Genomic DNA, 15,872 nt, shown 5'->3' on the forward strand with positions numbered 1-15,872 from the left:
ATTAAGAATAGAGTTTGTAAAATCAATAAATCAATAAATGAGTCATTTGTTTTAATATTCATATTTCTCATATACAAAATGTACTTAAAATATAATTCATAGATAAATATAGATGATATATTAGGGTGTTGGAAAACAGGAATCCATTAGTTATATCTAATTTCAAGCTATATGACAATGACTCATATCAAAAAAATAATACTTTACACAATTTGCATAAAGATGAGTTGGTTTTTAACAGTGTTCTTTTGCCTGCTGTATTGTGTGTTCTATGTTGTTTTGATGTAGTTTCTGTTTATAAATACTAACATCCTCCTTTCTCAAGACATTCAGTCATGTCAAGTGTAACCTATGGATTTTTCTGGGTTTACTTAGTAAAGATTTATGAATGAATAAGTCAATGAAGAAAAAATGTTCCTTTCATGCAGATTTTACTTTATAATATGACAGGGAACACACATCATAGTAAAGTATGTTTGCATATATAGGATATAGTAACATAAAATTAAAAATAATGAAAATTAATATGTTAACAAAAGCAGTATGTGGTCATACTTGTGGAATGAATGTATTTGGTAGTGTGAAATACCAAAAACCTCTATTGCTTGATATTTTCAATGTTAACCCCCAAATGGTGGTGGTAGTTTTCTTAAACATAGGACAAAATGACGTGCATGGTGAGGGATAAAGTACATTTTTCTAGAAACACATTTGCTTTCTGTTTTATGATTAGGTATAGAATGTTTGCTGTAGGCCAACATCAGAGAAAAATCCCCATACTTGAATATTAATGCCTGAGAGTATCTTAACAGAAAACAAAAGTTTTCATGTTTTAATAACGATAAAATACTTTAAATGTCTGGCTGGCATAATAAATAACTGAAAGTCAAATTCAATGGAATAGCTGTACTACATATCATTATGTAGTATGGCATATCATTGGTACAGCATATCATTATGTAGTACTGCATATCATTATGTAGTACTACATTATGTAGATATATAGCTGTACTATATATCATTCTACTTATTATTATGTTAGTGACTTGACTTTCTCAACATTTTTGCTACAGTGATTTTAGAAATCTGAAAATGCTATCATAGATTTCTACCTCACAAATAAAAGGAGATGGACTTCGACCAAGATCAGTTTTAGAGTCATTCTTGAAATAGTTTATCATTATCTTGGCACCCCCAAAATACTTAATATTCTATAAAACAAATCTGAAAAAATTATAAACTGAGAGCATGATTACATCATTTAATTTGCATAAGGAAAAAGTGATTTTGCAAAATACGTAAAATATGTTATATGTTTGGAAGAGACAAAGGAAGATTCCAAATGGAAGTCAATCTGAAGGAGAGAACATACCTTTAATAACTTCTGACACACACACACACACACACACACACACGTAGGTATATATACACATATATATAAAACTTAAGCATGTTTATACATATTCTCAGATTAGTAAGAGTCTCCGTATACACATCAATCTAATGGTTTTAATATAATTAAGTGGATATAGAAAGTTACTACGGATCAGAGGAAAGTGAAGGGACAGTCAATGCCTTTAAAAGCACATATTGATTCAGATTGGATAAAGTAAATGAAGAAGATCATGGAGATTGTAATATCATTGACACCAGTCAAACCGAACTTGCTAAATGGAGGCAAAACATAAACAAATATCCAACATACTCCCACAGTTGCTGTGTTATTCCTGTCATTATATCCTAAATGAATATACAGTACCAGAGACCAATTAGATTAGCTCTGTTGTTGTGATTCTTAAGGATGATTGTATTCACTGTGGTGGAGCATATCAAGAGGAGAAACAGAGAAGACATGGTAATGGGAGGAAGCATAGGGTATGTCCTTTCACTAGGCAAACAGATGATTGGTTGAACAAACTGTAGTAGAGCCACACAATGGAATACTTCTTAGTAATAAAAAAGAATGAGCTCTTGGTACACAACATAAAGTGGATGAATCTCAAGCTAATTATGCTGAGTGAAAGGAGTTGGCCAAAAATCTTTATGATTTCATTTATATAAAAGACTAAGAATTACAAACCAATAAGGAGTGACAGAAAGAAAATCAGTGGTTTCCTATGAACGAGGCATGGCACAGAGGGGGTGACGTTACAAAGGGGCCTCACTATACTTTTGGGATTGATGGATAGGTTCATTATCTTGATAGTGGTTATGGTTTCAGAAGTGTGTACGTATGCTAAACTTATCCAATGGTACATTTAAATGTGTGTAGTTCATTATATGTTAATGGTACTTTAATAAAAATAAGACTTTCTAGAGTCAGTTTGATCGGGAATCCTTGAATCACAGATGTGATTTTAAGATTTTTCAAAATCATTGAGATCATTTAGGTGAAAAATATTATTTACTGTATTATGTAGATGTTGCCACCCTGAGTGAAGAATAAAGCTGTTTATGAAAAGAAAATGAAAACAAAAGTCAGATTTCTGATGTTCTCATTCAGGTGTAATTCTACTTGCCGGTAAGTATATCCTGCAACTATGATAAAAATTTCAGACTTGTACAATAAAAGAAAGTATGGGTTTTTATATTTCCTTCTCCTCTCCCACTAAAACTTTTAATATAGAACCTACATGTATATAGCCTGGGAATTTTAAAAATTTATTGAAATTTTTCTCAATTTACTAATATTTTTATAGAAACTTCAGCCAGTGTGTATATGTATATGTATTTGTTTGCTGTTGGTAGTTTATTGATTGTTTTAAAAACTCATAAATCTATTAGTCTTTGTATTATGTTTACAATAGAGATAGAACATTTATACTTCTATGAAAAACTGCAACATCAATGGTTTGGAAAATACTGTTTTCTGCAAGTTGGCAAACTATAGGCACTTCAATAGGATAACATTTCCTTTTCCACTTGCTTCTACTATAATAACTGGTCTAGTTCTTCAAAGAACAAATGAACAGGGATCATAACGTAAGAGCCCAGTTTAATACTTGGTTAAGTCAAGTAAAGGAAACATATTTGTCTAAAGTAATTTGGGTAATTCTTTAAATCTTCTCTGTGATTCATTTTTATTTTTCTATTTACTATCTTTTTCTATTTACTTCCCCAAGGACACCAGGTCATACAACCATCTGCATCAGGCTCTATGGTCAGGGAGGAATGTCCCTTACTAGCCGTAAACATTTTTCTCTTGCTCAGCTGATGACCTTGGCTGCAGTGACCAGTGTAGTCTCACCTTGAATACTGCCTTCACGTTTTCATCCTGTCTCCCTATCTGCCTGAGCTAATCTGTTTCAGGGTTCTCTTTGTTCACTACATCCTGAGAATTAATGTTTATCCTAGTTTGGTGATTTCTAGCAGGGAAAAATGGTCTCTTTACAAAATCTTGTTAATGATATTTCACTTCAGGGACCAAGACCTGTTTTACTGCAGTTTTTGCCTTTGCCTTCTTCAAATCATTATCTTTTGCTCCCAACTGATAGCAAAGAGCCAAACGCCCAGGTTTAATTTGCAATGTCCTTGCTTAATTCAAACTTGCCGCTATACTCTCAGAGCAGCCCAATTTATCTTTTGAAAACACTTTCCACTGTAAAATACTTTCAACTCTTTTCTGTTCTCTTGCTGTGTATTACACATGCTTGTGTTACTATCTTACACATTGGAGGAAATTAGACTTGTCTAGTTCAGGAAATTAGCATGTTCTCTTAGATATTTTGAAAGGTAAGATTTACCTGATAATCAGTACTCAACCTATCAAAATAATGGCTGCCTTGGCTGTAGGTCAGAAGGACAAGTTCAGGGAAAATGGTGCATCTGCTGGAGCAGGCAGAATAGCTTGTTTCATTTCTGCAGTAGCTAACATAATAATAGAAGAACCAGTAATGAGGGCTGGTGAGGGTCCTAACATTCACAGTGGTCTTTAGCACCATCATTCGTGTTATCACTGTGAATCACTGACATAATTGTACTATTTCTGATTTGAAAAGCTACAGATGGCTCCCAATTTCTTTTACAACGAAATCAAAACTTTTCAGTATGATTCTCAAAGAGCCCTTATTTTGTCTCCAAACCACATTTCTTGCATCATTTTCTCCTCTTTCTCACTCACTTCCCAAACACAGCCTTCTCATTCTTCCAGGTCACTAACAGTGCAACTTCTTATATGTCTGAGAGATGTTTCCATCTTGTCTTCACTAAGCAAAGTTTTCCCTCAAATCCAAAGCCCAGCACAGGCTTCTTTGAAACTTTTCCCAGCCAGGCCTGATCCTCTTTGAAATGTACTTTTTGGAAATGTTACTGTGCTTCTTCAGGGCAAAAGGAGCTTTGCGTACACCTCTTGTGGCACTGTGATGATTCATGGAGTTGTTAACAAGTGATTCTTATTAAAATGAGAACCTTCTTGAGAATAGGAAATAGGACTTTTTCACTTTGTACTTCTAGATATGTGCACATGTCTGGCACATCACAATAGATCTTCAATCTATATTTGTGGAGGGAGTAAGTGAAAATCTTATGTAGTGATTTTCTTGGGTAGGCAAATGGAGTATGGCAACAGAAATATCTGGAGGACTGCAAAACACAAATATACAACCAGATAGGGAGTTCCCAAAAGGGAGAAAAATGCAAACAAACAGAACCAGATATAGAATCTGGGGTGATTCGAGTTTTTGTCTATTTCTAAGAGAACAAGTAAGAAAGATCTGAATTTTAGTCCCAAGTAAACAGGAATATTAGGAAAAGTATCAATCAAGGTCTTAGACGTAGAGGAATAAGAGTGAATCAATTAATGGAACTAGGCTATAAGGTTAGAGTGGCTTATTTTAAGAGAACCAGAGTTCATTGTCGAAATGACACAAGGAACAAGGTACCAGAGATGGTGCTCCTTAAAGTAACCCCGACTAGGAGCAGACTTAGCCCAAGGTGTCCATATCTTTTGCAATTTATTCGCATCACTCCATGTTCATGGAAAGAAAAACGTTAATCAAAAAGGCTTGTCACTTGAAGTTCCACACTTCAGGGTGTTACTTTAGGTTCTGCACCTGTACCTATTTCAAATTTTCTGGTCCTTGTGGTGTTTTCTGTATATTTATGGTTTGGGGCTAGTTGTTTTCACTGTTATTATTTTTAATCCATAATTGACTCTCTACTTAGGACTTCTGAAACAATGGCATGGTGCTTTTCCCTCACCAGATGTTGCTTTTCATTTCCTCCTCCTTGAATTTATTTGCTCAGCTGCCATGCAACTCCTGATTTGCTCTCTTCTAGGTTCACCCTCTACTGGCTTATGCCACAAACTATGTCAGGGCTTATGACCTTAAATTTCTGAGAGGGAAGGGACTCAGAATTTAAGTGAGTACAGTATTCTAGAGGAGTCAAGCAGTTATAGTCATCCTTCTTATAACATTCCTCCTGTTCATTTTTGAATCTCTATAAAGAAATAGCTGAGGCTGGGTAATTGATAAATAAGGCAGGCTTACTTGGCTCATGGTTCTGCAGGCTGTACAGGAAGCATGGCATCCGCAGCTGTTCAGCTCCTGGGGAGGCTTCAAGCAGCTTTTACTCATGGTGAAAGATGAAGCTAAAGCAGGTACATCACATGTCAAGAGCAGGAACAAGAAGGAGAGAGGATGGAGGTCCCAGACGTACAAACAACCAGATCTCACATGATCTAATGGAGTGAGAACTCACTTATCACCAAGCAGATGGTGCTAAGCCCTCATAAGGGATTTACTGCCATGATCCAATCACCTCCCACCAGGCCCCACTTCCAACATTAAGAATCACATTTCAACATGAGATTTGGAGGGGACAAACATCCAAACTATGTCCCCTCCAAACACATATCAAGGACTACTTTGGTTATCTCAGTATCATCTTATTAGTTTCTGCTGCCACCATAAGACAAAATTCAAATAGTATAAAAGTTAGAGGGGAATTGCCATTCTTCCCTCTGTGTTTATTCATTCACTTTAATTTGAGGAGTTTATTTAAATAAAAACATGGAGTTTTTCAATGGCAAGAAAACCATGGTGATAGGATTCTATTAACACTGGCCAAGAAAACATCACAGGACAGCCACGGTTTTCTGGCTTACCAGGCTGTAATCAAATGAAGATGTGAAGAGTGAAGATCTCCCAAGGAGGGTGCTTTACTTCAACTAGAAAAGCAAATTGTGCTCTCCATAATTGTTTTTGAGTTAGAAGAGGCTTTGATGTTTTTCACTTTTCCTTCTATGAAAGAAAACACATTATGACTTTTAAGTTATACAAACAAAACTTTTTTTTTAAATGCATATTCATGCCCCAAGCCAACTTTTCCTAATTAGTCAGATGGAGAACTAATGGAGTTGTTGGAAAGCTGATTGAATACTTAAGAGCACAGGAATAACATCAATCACCATTTGGAGAAAAGAGAATGTGTTTAGCGATAGGTTGGTAAACTGAGAAGGCTCAAGTTGTAGCCTGGAGGGAAATTGTAGGACTGCTCCAACTCTAATCCCCAAATTCCCTCTCTTCATTGGTTAAAGGAGGCTGCCAGTGGTCGAGTTCTGTTATTACCTCTGTTTAGTTGTCCTCCAAAGTCCCCTAACCTCAGTTATTCTGAAGTAGTAATAATAACATCTCTGGTCATATCTTAGAGGTGAAACAATTTCTTGCAGCAGGTTGGGCCTTCATTTACTATTTCTTTAATTCATCCATCTAACAAGCAATTTCCATGTATATTGTTATCCTTATGTATTACATAGGATTACATACATTAAGCAGGTAATGTATGTAGGTTCACTGTGTGGAAATTGCAGAAATATATAAAAATATTCTTAGCATTGTTTCCCTGACCTGGCAAGAGTAGAATCAGGAATTGGAAAATTGTTAAGAGAATTTGTCATTTAAACCTCCTCTAAAATGTTGGATTTTATTAAAAACATATTTATGTATTACTTTTATTTAAGAGTATTTATCTTTCCTAAGAGTCTTGTCAATTTTCCCAGACAGGACGCTGAAGCTAGAGATAACATATTTTTTAGGAATAAGGTAAACCAGGCCACCTCTTGCAGAACACAGAGCACCTAACTCAGGTGTGGGCCATGGTGGAGCCGAGGTCAACAATGGCTGACCAGCACACTCCAGGACATTCCATAGTGGCTTGCTCTTTCCTCTTCTTCTGCTTTCAGAACAATAACCTGCCATCCTTTTTATTTTTCAAACTTGACTGATTCTAAACAAAAATACCAGGCAGTTATTTTCATATTTCATAGCTCAGGGTCACTTAAATTATAATTAATTTTTACTGATCCCATCATTTCAAATTCATCTTAGGGAATTTAACAAGAAAAGGTCTAAATAGATTTTTTTAAATATGTTAATAAGGATCGGTACATGTCGAATCTCTAATTACCTGTGTATTATCTCTGCTCAGTCTTGAGTGAAGTCTGAGTGAATAATTTCTTCAATGATCCAGTTTTTCTGTTTTTTTCCCCTCAATCATTTAACACACATGACTATATCCTAGGTTTAGTGAAGCAGAAAACAAAGTAGAAATATATTTTAAAGCACAATTATTACAAAATGCTTCCAGTTTCTATCTTCTCTAAATGAATAACGTCTGCAGGTTTAAGCTATTTCCTCTCATCTGGGTCTTCTCTTTGTCTCTGGATCCTTTGTCACATAATGGGAAGTTGATGAATGCCGAAATTTGAAGTTTCACAAAAGAGAAGACTAAATTGAAAAATAAATAGTTTTCTCAGTTTTTGTATTCATGATAATGTTAATTATAAAGCAAAATAGCAGCGACTGAGATATTTAGTTCAAATATAAGCACAATATGAACACTGGCAGTGTTAATAACTGGTAAGATTTCAAAATCCCTCCTAGTTGTGCTTCATTACTCCAGGTATAAATATTTACTCAACTTGAGATAAAATTTTTCTCACAAATGATTAATAATATACATAGGGTTTTTTTTTTTGTCTGAATGCAGAGCTGAATATCGGTTTTACTTCATTTCATGTTTTATATCAGCACAGCCAAACTTTTTCTCAACAAAAAAGCAGCCTGATTTAAGCCACGGTTGCAGATCTTTGCCAGACTGCCACAACTTTTATTAGAGATGAGTATTTTACATGCTTACCATGATGCACTCAGTTGGGGGCTCTTTATTGTTATCATTTCAATTCAATAACAAAAAAAATAAGAAAAAATGGAGCCCTGGATAAAATTTCAATTACTAAGCAAAGTAAGAAGTAATTACAGTTTTCAACAATACAGAAGCAATTCAATGTATAAACTCTGTATTCCCATTTTATAGCACTAAAAATCTTTAAAATATTTTCCAAACAGTTCATTGCTAACATCAGCAGTCTCCTCTCCACTGTCCCCCAAACATTCTCAAATTATGTCTTTGGTGATAATAACTTTGAAATCCTTCAGATTTTTAAATAATATATTTTCAGACCTTTTGGTTGAATACATAATGTTAAACTGAACTTCCTAGGTTAGGCAGGATATATTTGAATTTTGCTTGTGCCTTCTGCAATATAGTACTTCTTAATGGGACTAGAATAAACAAACTGAGGATATCGGTTTGATAGCTTATGTAATGTTTTTCTGTTCTCTGTTTTTTACCTACAAGTGGCTTTTAGCAGTGAGGAATAAAGATAATTGACAGAAAATAATGTTAATTGCATGGGATTTAAAGTTACAGGGATCTTACCCCATCCTAGTTTCATTTAATACTAATATAGCCTATGACAATTCACTTATGTGGCTGCCTCAATCCTTAGTTTTCACAATTATAAAACTGGAGTTATGGGAACAAGTACTCAATAGAAATATTGTGAGAAATAATAGCATAATGTACAATAAGCAATCAACATATGTTAATAACTATTAATGCTGTTAATATAGATAACATAAATAAATGAACATAATTTTCAACCACTTACAAATATTTCAATATAATTTGGAAATGAGTTAGACAAAAACAGAAAAAGACTATTGTCCAATAAAATAGCTATTCCCAATCACCCTGTTATACTGAATTTGATTGCTTATATAGGCTCTGCCTTAATGAAAAGGAGAGGACAAGAAAGTAGATACTTTCTTTTCCTAGAACATTCATTAAATTAAAACTGCTGAGACTTCTGGTTTCCAGTTCTACTTATAAGTCATCACTCTGTTCTAACAACAGCAAAAAGTGAAATGACTGATAAGTCAACTTTTATTAGATCAATAAAAGAGGTGATGGAAAACAGTTGTCTTCACTGTTTTGGAGATTGGAGAGACAGACAAGTGAATATATTGGGTCACAGATTTCCAGAGCAGAGTCTCACCAGTGAAAACCTTGGCAGGAATGAGTACTGGGGTTGTAAACCTGAAATATAGTTGATAAATTGGTGGGGGCACAAAGTGGACAAGTCTCAGAATTAAAAACTCCAGGGGAACCCACAAAATGGAGCTCACACTTTTGTGAGATTTACCTCCAGGAACTCTACCCACTTCTCTTAGTAAATATCAGAGAAAAGTCTCCTCATCGTTCTGGTGTGGGGATAGGAAAAGAAACCACTTCAGAATATGCCAGAGCATTCTGTTAGAAAGGTTTGCACTCAGAAGAAACTCTTTAACCAGAGCTTATCCTCTTGGGTTTTATCAGAACCTAGGGGAAGGGAAATGCCCAATTTCAGCCACTTGTATCCTCTTACATGGAGGAAGGGAAATACAGAATCTCAGCCCACTCTAACCATCCACAAAGGAGAAGGAAAATACCAATCTTTGGCCTACTCTAGTCTTCCTTTTCTATTTATGGGGTGGTGGTGCTGAGAAGCACTTCTGAAGTTCACTTCTGATGTCTGGAGGCATAGGCTTAAAAAAAGACTGAGACTGAATCACAGGACTGTAGAATGCTTCCTGTTCCTGACACCTTACTACTGCATTATTGAAGACCCGTTTACAGCAGTCCTTTTACTACAACATGCTACTAGCTACATCATGTCCAGTTATCAAGAAAGAATTGCAAGGCATACCAAAAGGCAAAAAAGAGAAACAAACCCACAATTTGAAGAGGCAGAGCAAGCAGACATGACAGGGATATTGGAATTTTCAGACTGGGAATTTTAACAAATATGATTAATAGGCTAAGGGCTCTTAATGGATACATAAAGTAGACAACATGAAAGAACAGATGGGCAATTTAAACAGAGATAGAAATCCTAAGCAAAACAAAACAAAACAAAACAAACAAAAAAACCAAATACTATGGGTCAAAAATATTGAAACAGAAATGGAGAACATTAAGCATCATACTGGAAGAAATGAAAGAACTGACAAAACCCCCTGGAACTAATTGATCACAGCAAGGTTGTAGGAATATAGTCAATCGCCTTCTGTATTAGTTCATTTTCATACTGCTATGAAGAAATACCCAAGACTGAGTAATTTATAAGGAAAAAGAGGTTTAATGGACTCACAGTTCCACATGGCTAGGGAGGCCTCTCAGTCATGGTGGAAGGTGAAGGAGGAGCAAAGGCATGTCTTACATGGCAGCAGGCAAGAGAGCATGCTCAGGGAGACTGCCCCTTTATAAAACCATCAAGTCGCATGAGACTTATTCATTATCATGAGAACAGCATGAGAAAAGCCCACCCCTATGATTCAATTACCTCCACTAGGTCCCTCCCATGACACATGGGGATTAAGGGAGCTACAATCTAAGATGAGATTTGGCTGGGGACAGAGCCAAACCATATCATTCTGCCCCTGGCTGCTCCCAAATCTCATGTCCTTACAATTAAAAACACAAAAACACAATTATGCCCTCCCAACAGTCCCTCAGAGTCTTAAATCATTCCAGCATTAACTGAAAAGTCCAAGTCCAAAGCCTCATCTGAGACAAGGCAAGTCCCTTCCTCCTATGAGCCTGTAAAATCAAAAGCTAGTTAGTTACTTCCTAGACACAATGGGAGTACAGGCATTGGGTAAATATACCCATTCTAAATGGGAGAAATTGGACAAAACAAAGGAGCCACAGGCCCAGTGCAAGTCCAAAATCTAATAGGGCAGTCATTAAACCTTAAAGTTCCAAAATGACCTCATTTGACTCCGTGTCTCACATCCAGGTCACACTGATGCAAAAGGTGGGTTCCCATGGCCTTGGGAAGCTCTGTCTCTATGGCTTTGCAGGGTACACTGCTTCTGTTCTGACTGGTTTCACAGGCTGGCGCTGAGTGTCTGTGGCTTTTCCAGGTGCATGGTGCAAGCTGTCAGTGGAACTACCATTCTGGGGTCTGGAGGATGGTGGCCTTCTTCTCACAGCTCCACTAGGCAGTGCCCCAGTGAGGACTCTGTGGGTTGGGGGGGACTCCAACCCCACATTTCCCTTCAGCACTGCCATAGCAGAGGTTCTCCATGAGAGTTCCACCCCTGCAACACACCTCGGCCTAGACATCCAGGCGTTTTCATACATCCTCTGAAATCTAGGTGGAAGTTCCCAAACCTCAAATCTTGTCATCTGTATACCTGCGAGACCCACACCACATGGAAGCTGCCAAGGCTTGGGGCTTGAACCATTTGAAGCCATGGCCCAAGCAGTATGTTGGTTCTTTTTAGCCACAGCTGGAGTGGCTGGGCACAGGACACTGAGTCCCAAGGCTGAATACAGAAGGGGGGCCCTCGTCCTGGTCAAAGCAACCATTTTTCTTTCCTAGGACTATGGTGGAAGGGGCTTCCGTGAAGGCCTCTGACATGGCCTGCAGACATTTTCTCCATTGCTTTAGTGATTAACATTCTGCTCCTCATTACCTATGCAAATTTCTGCAGCTCGCTTGAATTTCTCCCCAGAAAATGGGTTTTTCTTCTCTACTGCTTTGTCAGGGTACAGATTTTTTAAACTTTTATGCTCTGCTTCCTCTGGAATGCTTTGTTGCTTAGAAATTTCATCTGTCAGATACCCTAAATCATCTCTCTCAAGTTTAAAGTTCCAAAGATCTCTAGGGCAGGGTTAAAATGCTGCCAGTCTTTTTGCATAGCAAGAGTGAACTTTCCTCCAGTTCCTAACAAGTTCCTCATCTCCATCTGAGACGACCTTAGCCTGGACTTTTTTGTCCATATCACCTCAGCATTTTGGTAAAGTCATTCAACAAGTCTCTAGGAAGTTCCAAACTTTCCAACCTCTTCATGTCTTCTGAGCCCTCCAAGTCTCTATGAAGTTCCAAACTTTCCCACATTTTCCTATCTTCTTCTGAGCCCTCCAAACTGTTCCAACTTCTTCCTGTTACTCTGTTGCAATGTAGTAGTTCCAGCTAGCAGTGGGCAATTTGGAGTATAGTTAAGTATCTTTGATCTCATACACACTGAAAAATGTTCATTGGATGTATATAAAAATCTGAGTTTATACATCTGAGCTAGAGAATTACCAAAGCCACTGCAAATGTGCTATTTTAGAATTAATTTCAATAAATCCATGTTTCTACAGATCTCACATTCTCAGAAGGCATTAAAGGGCAGGTAAAGCAAGGTATTTTAGTATAACAATTTGATTTAAAGTAAATACATATTTTCTAATCAGTAACTTATAATTATCAGGTAGCTGATAATTTTTTTGGCTATGTCTTTACAGTGAATTAAATATATTTATGATGCTAAATGAACACACACATACATTGTAAAAACATTTTTGTATTTGTATGAGGCCAAAAATATGCATGGTTTTTGTACATATGAACAAAAACATATGAGAATTAACATGTTAGCTAAGTGCTTACATTTTGTAGCAAACTAAGATGTATCTTTAAATACTTTACCAAGATTAATATTGTCTTAGTATTTGATGTTGTCTGAGTAGAGATGGAATTTTTGTTTACTAATTAAGGTCACAATCAGGAAATAGTTACATATTACACATTTCCATAGTAAAGTTATATGAAAATGATAATTATGTAGTTTGTTTTCAAGGAAACCATAATGGTATATAGTGATGAAAACAGGTGAAATTGTGGAAAGTAACCCTTCATTCAAAGACTGTGTTCATAATATAAGCCAAAAATGAACATTAAGTAAGTGAATGCAATCAAAACCTAGAGTATCTATTCCTGGTTCCTGAAATCTGACTGAATCTAATTTTTAAAAAAGAGATGGGAATCTCTCTATGTCACCCAGACTGGTCTTGAGCTCCTGGCCTCAAGTGATCTTCCAGCATGTACAAGAAAGCATGTATAGCGGAATTGCCTTTTATAAAACCAACGGATCTCATGAGACTTATTCACTATCATGAGAACAGCATGGGAAAAACCTACCCTCATGATTCAGTTATCTCCCACTGGGTCCTTCCCATGACACATGGGTATTTTTGGAGCTCCAATTCAAGATGAGATTTGGGTGGAGACACAGTCAGACGATACCACCTTCCTGTATAGCTCTAGTGAACAAATGTAATTTTAAATAAAAAAATACAATGCCATTTATGTTAGCAGCACCCCCCACCCAAAAAAAAAAAAGAAATAGGTACACATTGAACAAAATATCTTCAAGATCTATCTGAGGAAAACAACAAAACTATGATAAAAGAAATCAAAGAAGAACTACACAAATGGAGAGATAGTCTATGTTCATAAATAGGAAGACTCAATAGTGTGAAGATGTTAGTTCTTCACAACTGGATCGATTCAGTGCAATCCCAATGAAAATCACAGCAAGCTATTTTATATTGTCAGGATGATTCTAATGTTTATATGGAGAGGCAAAGGGTACACAGTAGCCATATTGAAGGAGAATTACAAAGGAGAGAATATTGAAAGAGAACAAAGTTGGAGACTGACAATACCAGATTTCAAGACATATTATCAAGCACAGTAATCAAGACAGTGTGGTACTGACGAAAGAATGATAGACAAATGGATTAGTGGAACAGAATACAGAGCCTAGAAATTGACCCACATGAATATAGTCAACTGATTTTGACAAAGGAGCAAAGGAAATGCGATGGTGCAAAATAGTCTTTTCAAGAAATGATGCTGGAACGACTGGATTTACATGCAAAATTTTACAAAGAAAATCTAGACACAGACTTTACACCCTTCACAAAAATTTGCTCAAAATAGACCATAGACCTAAATGTAAAACGCAAAATTATAAACTCTTAGAAGATAGCTTAGGTAAAATTCTAGCTGAACTTGGTTATGGAAAAGGCTTTTTAGATATACCACCAAAGGCACAATTTATGAAAGCAATAACTGGTAAGCTGGACTTCATTAAAATTAAAAACTTCTGCTCCGTGAAAGAATATGACAAAAGAATGAGAGGTGAATGCATAAATTGGTAGAAAATAATTGCAAAAGATACAGCAGATAAAGGATTGTTATCCCAAAGATAGAAAAATACATAAAACTCAACAATAAGGAAACATACAACCTGATGAAAAAAATTGGCCAAAGACCTCAAAGGACACCTCATGAAAGATAAACATATAAAATATGCTGCACATTTTAGATCATCAGGCAAATGCAAATTAAAACAACCATAAAATACCAATATATACGTATTAGAATGGTCGAAATTCAAAACACCAAATGCTGGCAAGGATGTGGAGCAACAGGAACTATCAATAATTGTTGCTGGGAATGCAAAATGGTACTCTGGAAGACAGTTTCTTACAGTTTCTTACAAAGTTAAATATACTCTTATATGTTCCAGCAATCACAGTACCCAAATGAATTCACATGAAAACTGGCACATGGATATTTACAGCAGCTTTATTTGTAATTGACAAAATCTGGAAGCAACCAGGTTGCTCTTCAGTAGGTAAACACATAAATGTGGTACATCCTACAATGGAATATTATTCAGCACTGAAGAGAAATGAGCTGTCAAGCCATGGAAAGAACATTACAGGCATATTATTAAAAGAAAGAAGCCAGTCTTAAAAGGTTATATACCATGTGATTCCCACAATATGAGATTCTGTGAAGGGCAGAATTGTGGTGACAGTAAAAAACAATCAGTGGTTGCTAGAGGTTGGGGAGCAGGAGGGATGAAAGATGGAGCACAGATGATTTATAGGGAACTGAAATCATTTTGCATAGTGCCCTAATTGTGGATACATGTTATTATACATTTGTGCAGACCTAAAGAATGTACAATATCAACAGTAAATCCTAACGTAAACTCTGGATTTTGCATGATTATGATATGTCAATATAGATTCATCAATTAAAAGTAGCACTTAGTGTGTGATGTTGATAATGGGGGAGACTATGCATGTGTGAAGGCAGGAGGTATGTGGGAAATCTCTGTATCTTCCTCTCCATTTTTGCTGTAACCTAAAACTATTCTTAAAAAAATAAGTATTAAGTGATGGCTTGACATAAGCTAGATCATCTCAAAATATTTCTAGTCAAAGAACAGGTCATAGAGGTGAATCCAGAATATACATATATCATACATATGTATCATATGTATTTATATTATATATTATATACAATATATACATTATGCTATTTGATTACAGCATTCTCTTTTTCCAATGTTTCTTTATGCTTGTCTTGCTGGTAATAAAGACAGTCCTCAGGGCAAAATGTTTTATTATGTCGTGATGTGTTAATTTTGGGGAATTGTTTTCCAGTTATGAATATTTACTTTGATAAGGTTTCCAATAAGAATGCCTTGTGTATTTGAGTAATCAAGGATATATTTAAGAAGCCATTAAGTGCTTTGGATAAGACGGGCTCATCTTATCGCATCAAAATTGAGAAATATATACAGAGAATCATGCTTTATAACGTTAACTACACTTCTGCTATGTTTATTCCAACTTTCCATTAAGAAATGAACTAAATAGTATTATAACTACCCAATTAGCTAGCAGTGTCCAAT

The 15,872-nt window shown here is 36.0% G+C and overlaps 1 protein-coding gene across 2 annotated transcripts in view; it reads left to right on the forward strand.

Moving 5' to 3' along the window:
• GPC5 (glypican 5) overlaps positions 1-15,872 on the forward strand; it is a 1,468,617-nt gene that overhangs the window by 925,096 nt on the left and 527,649 nt on the right. The gene's annotated exons all lie outside the window — the stretch shown is intronic.

This window comes from Homo sapiens, chromosome 13 (genome assembly GCF_000001405.40).
Source record: "Homo sapiens chromosome 13, GRCh38.p14 Primary Assembly".
Taxonomy (NCBI): Eukaryota; Metazoa; Chordata; class Mammalia; order Primates; family Hominidae; genus Homo; species Homo sapiens.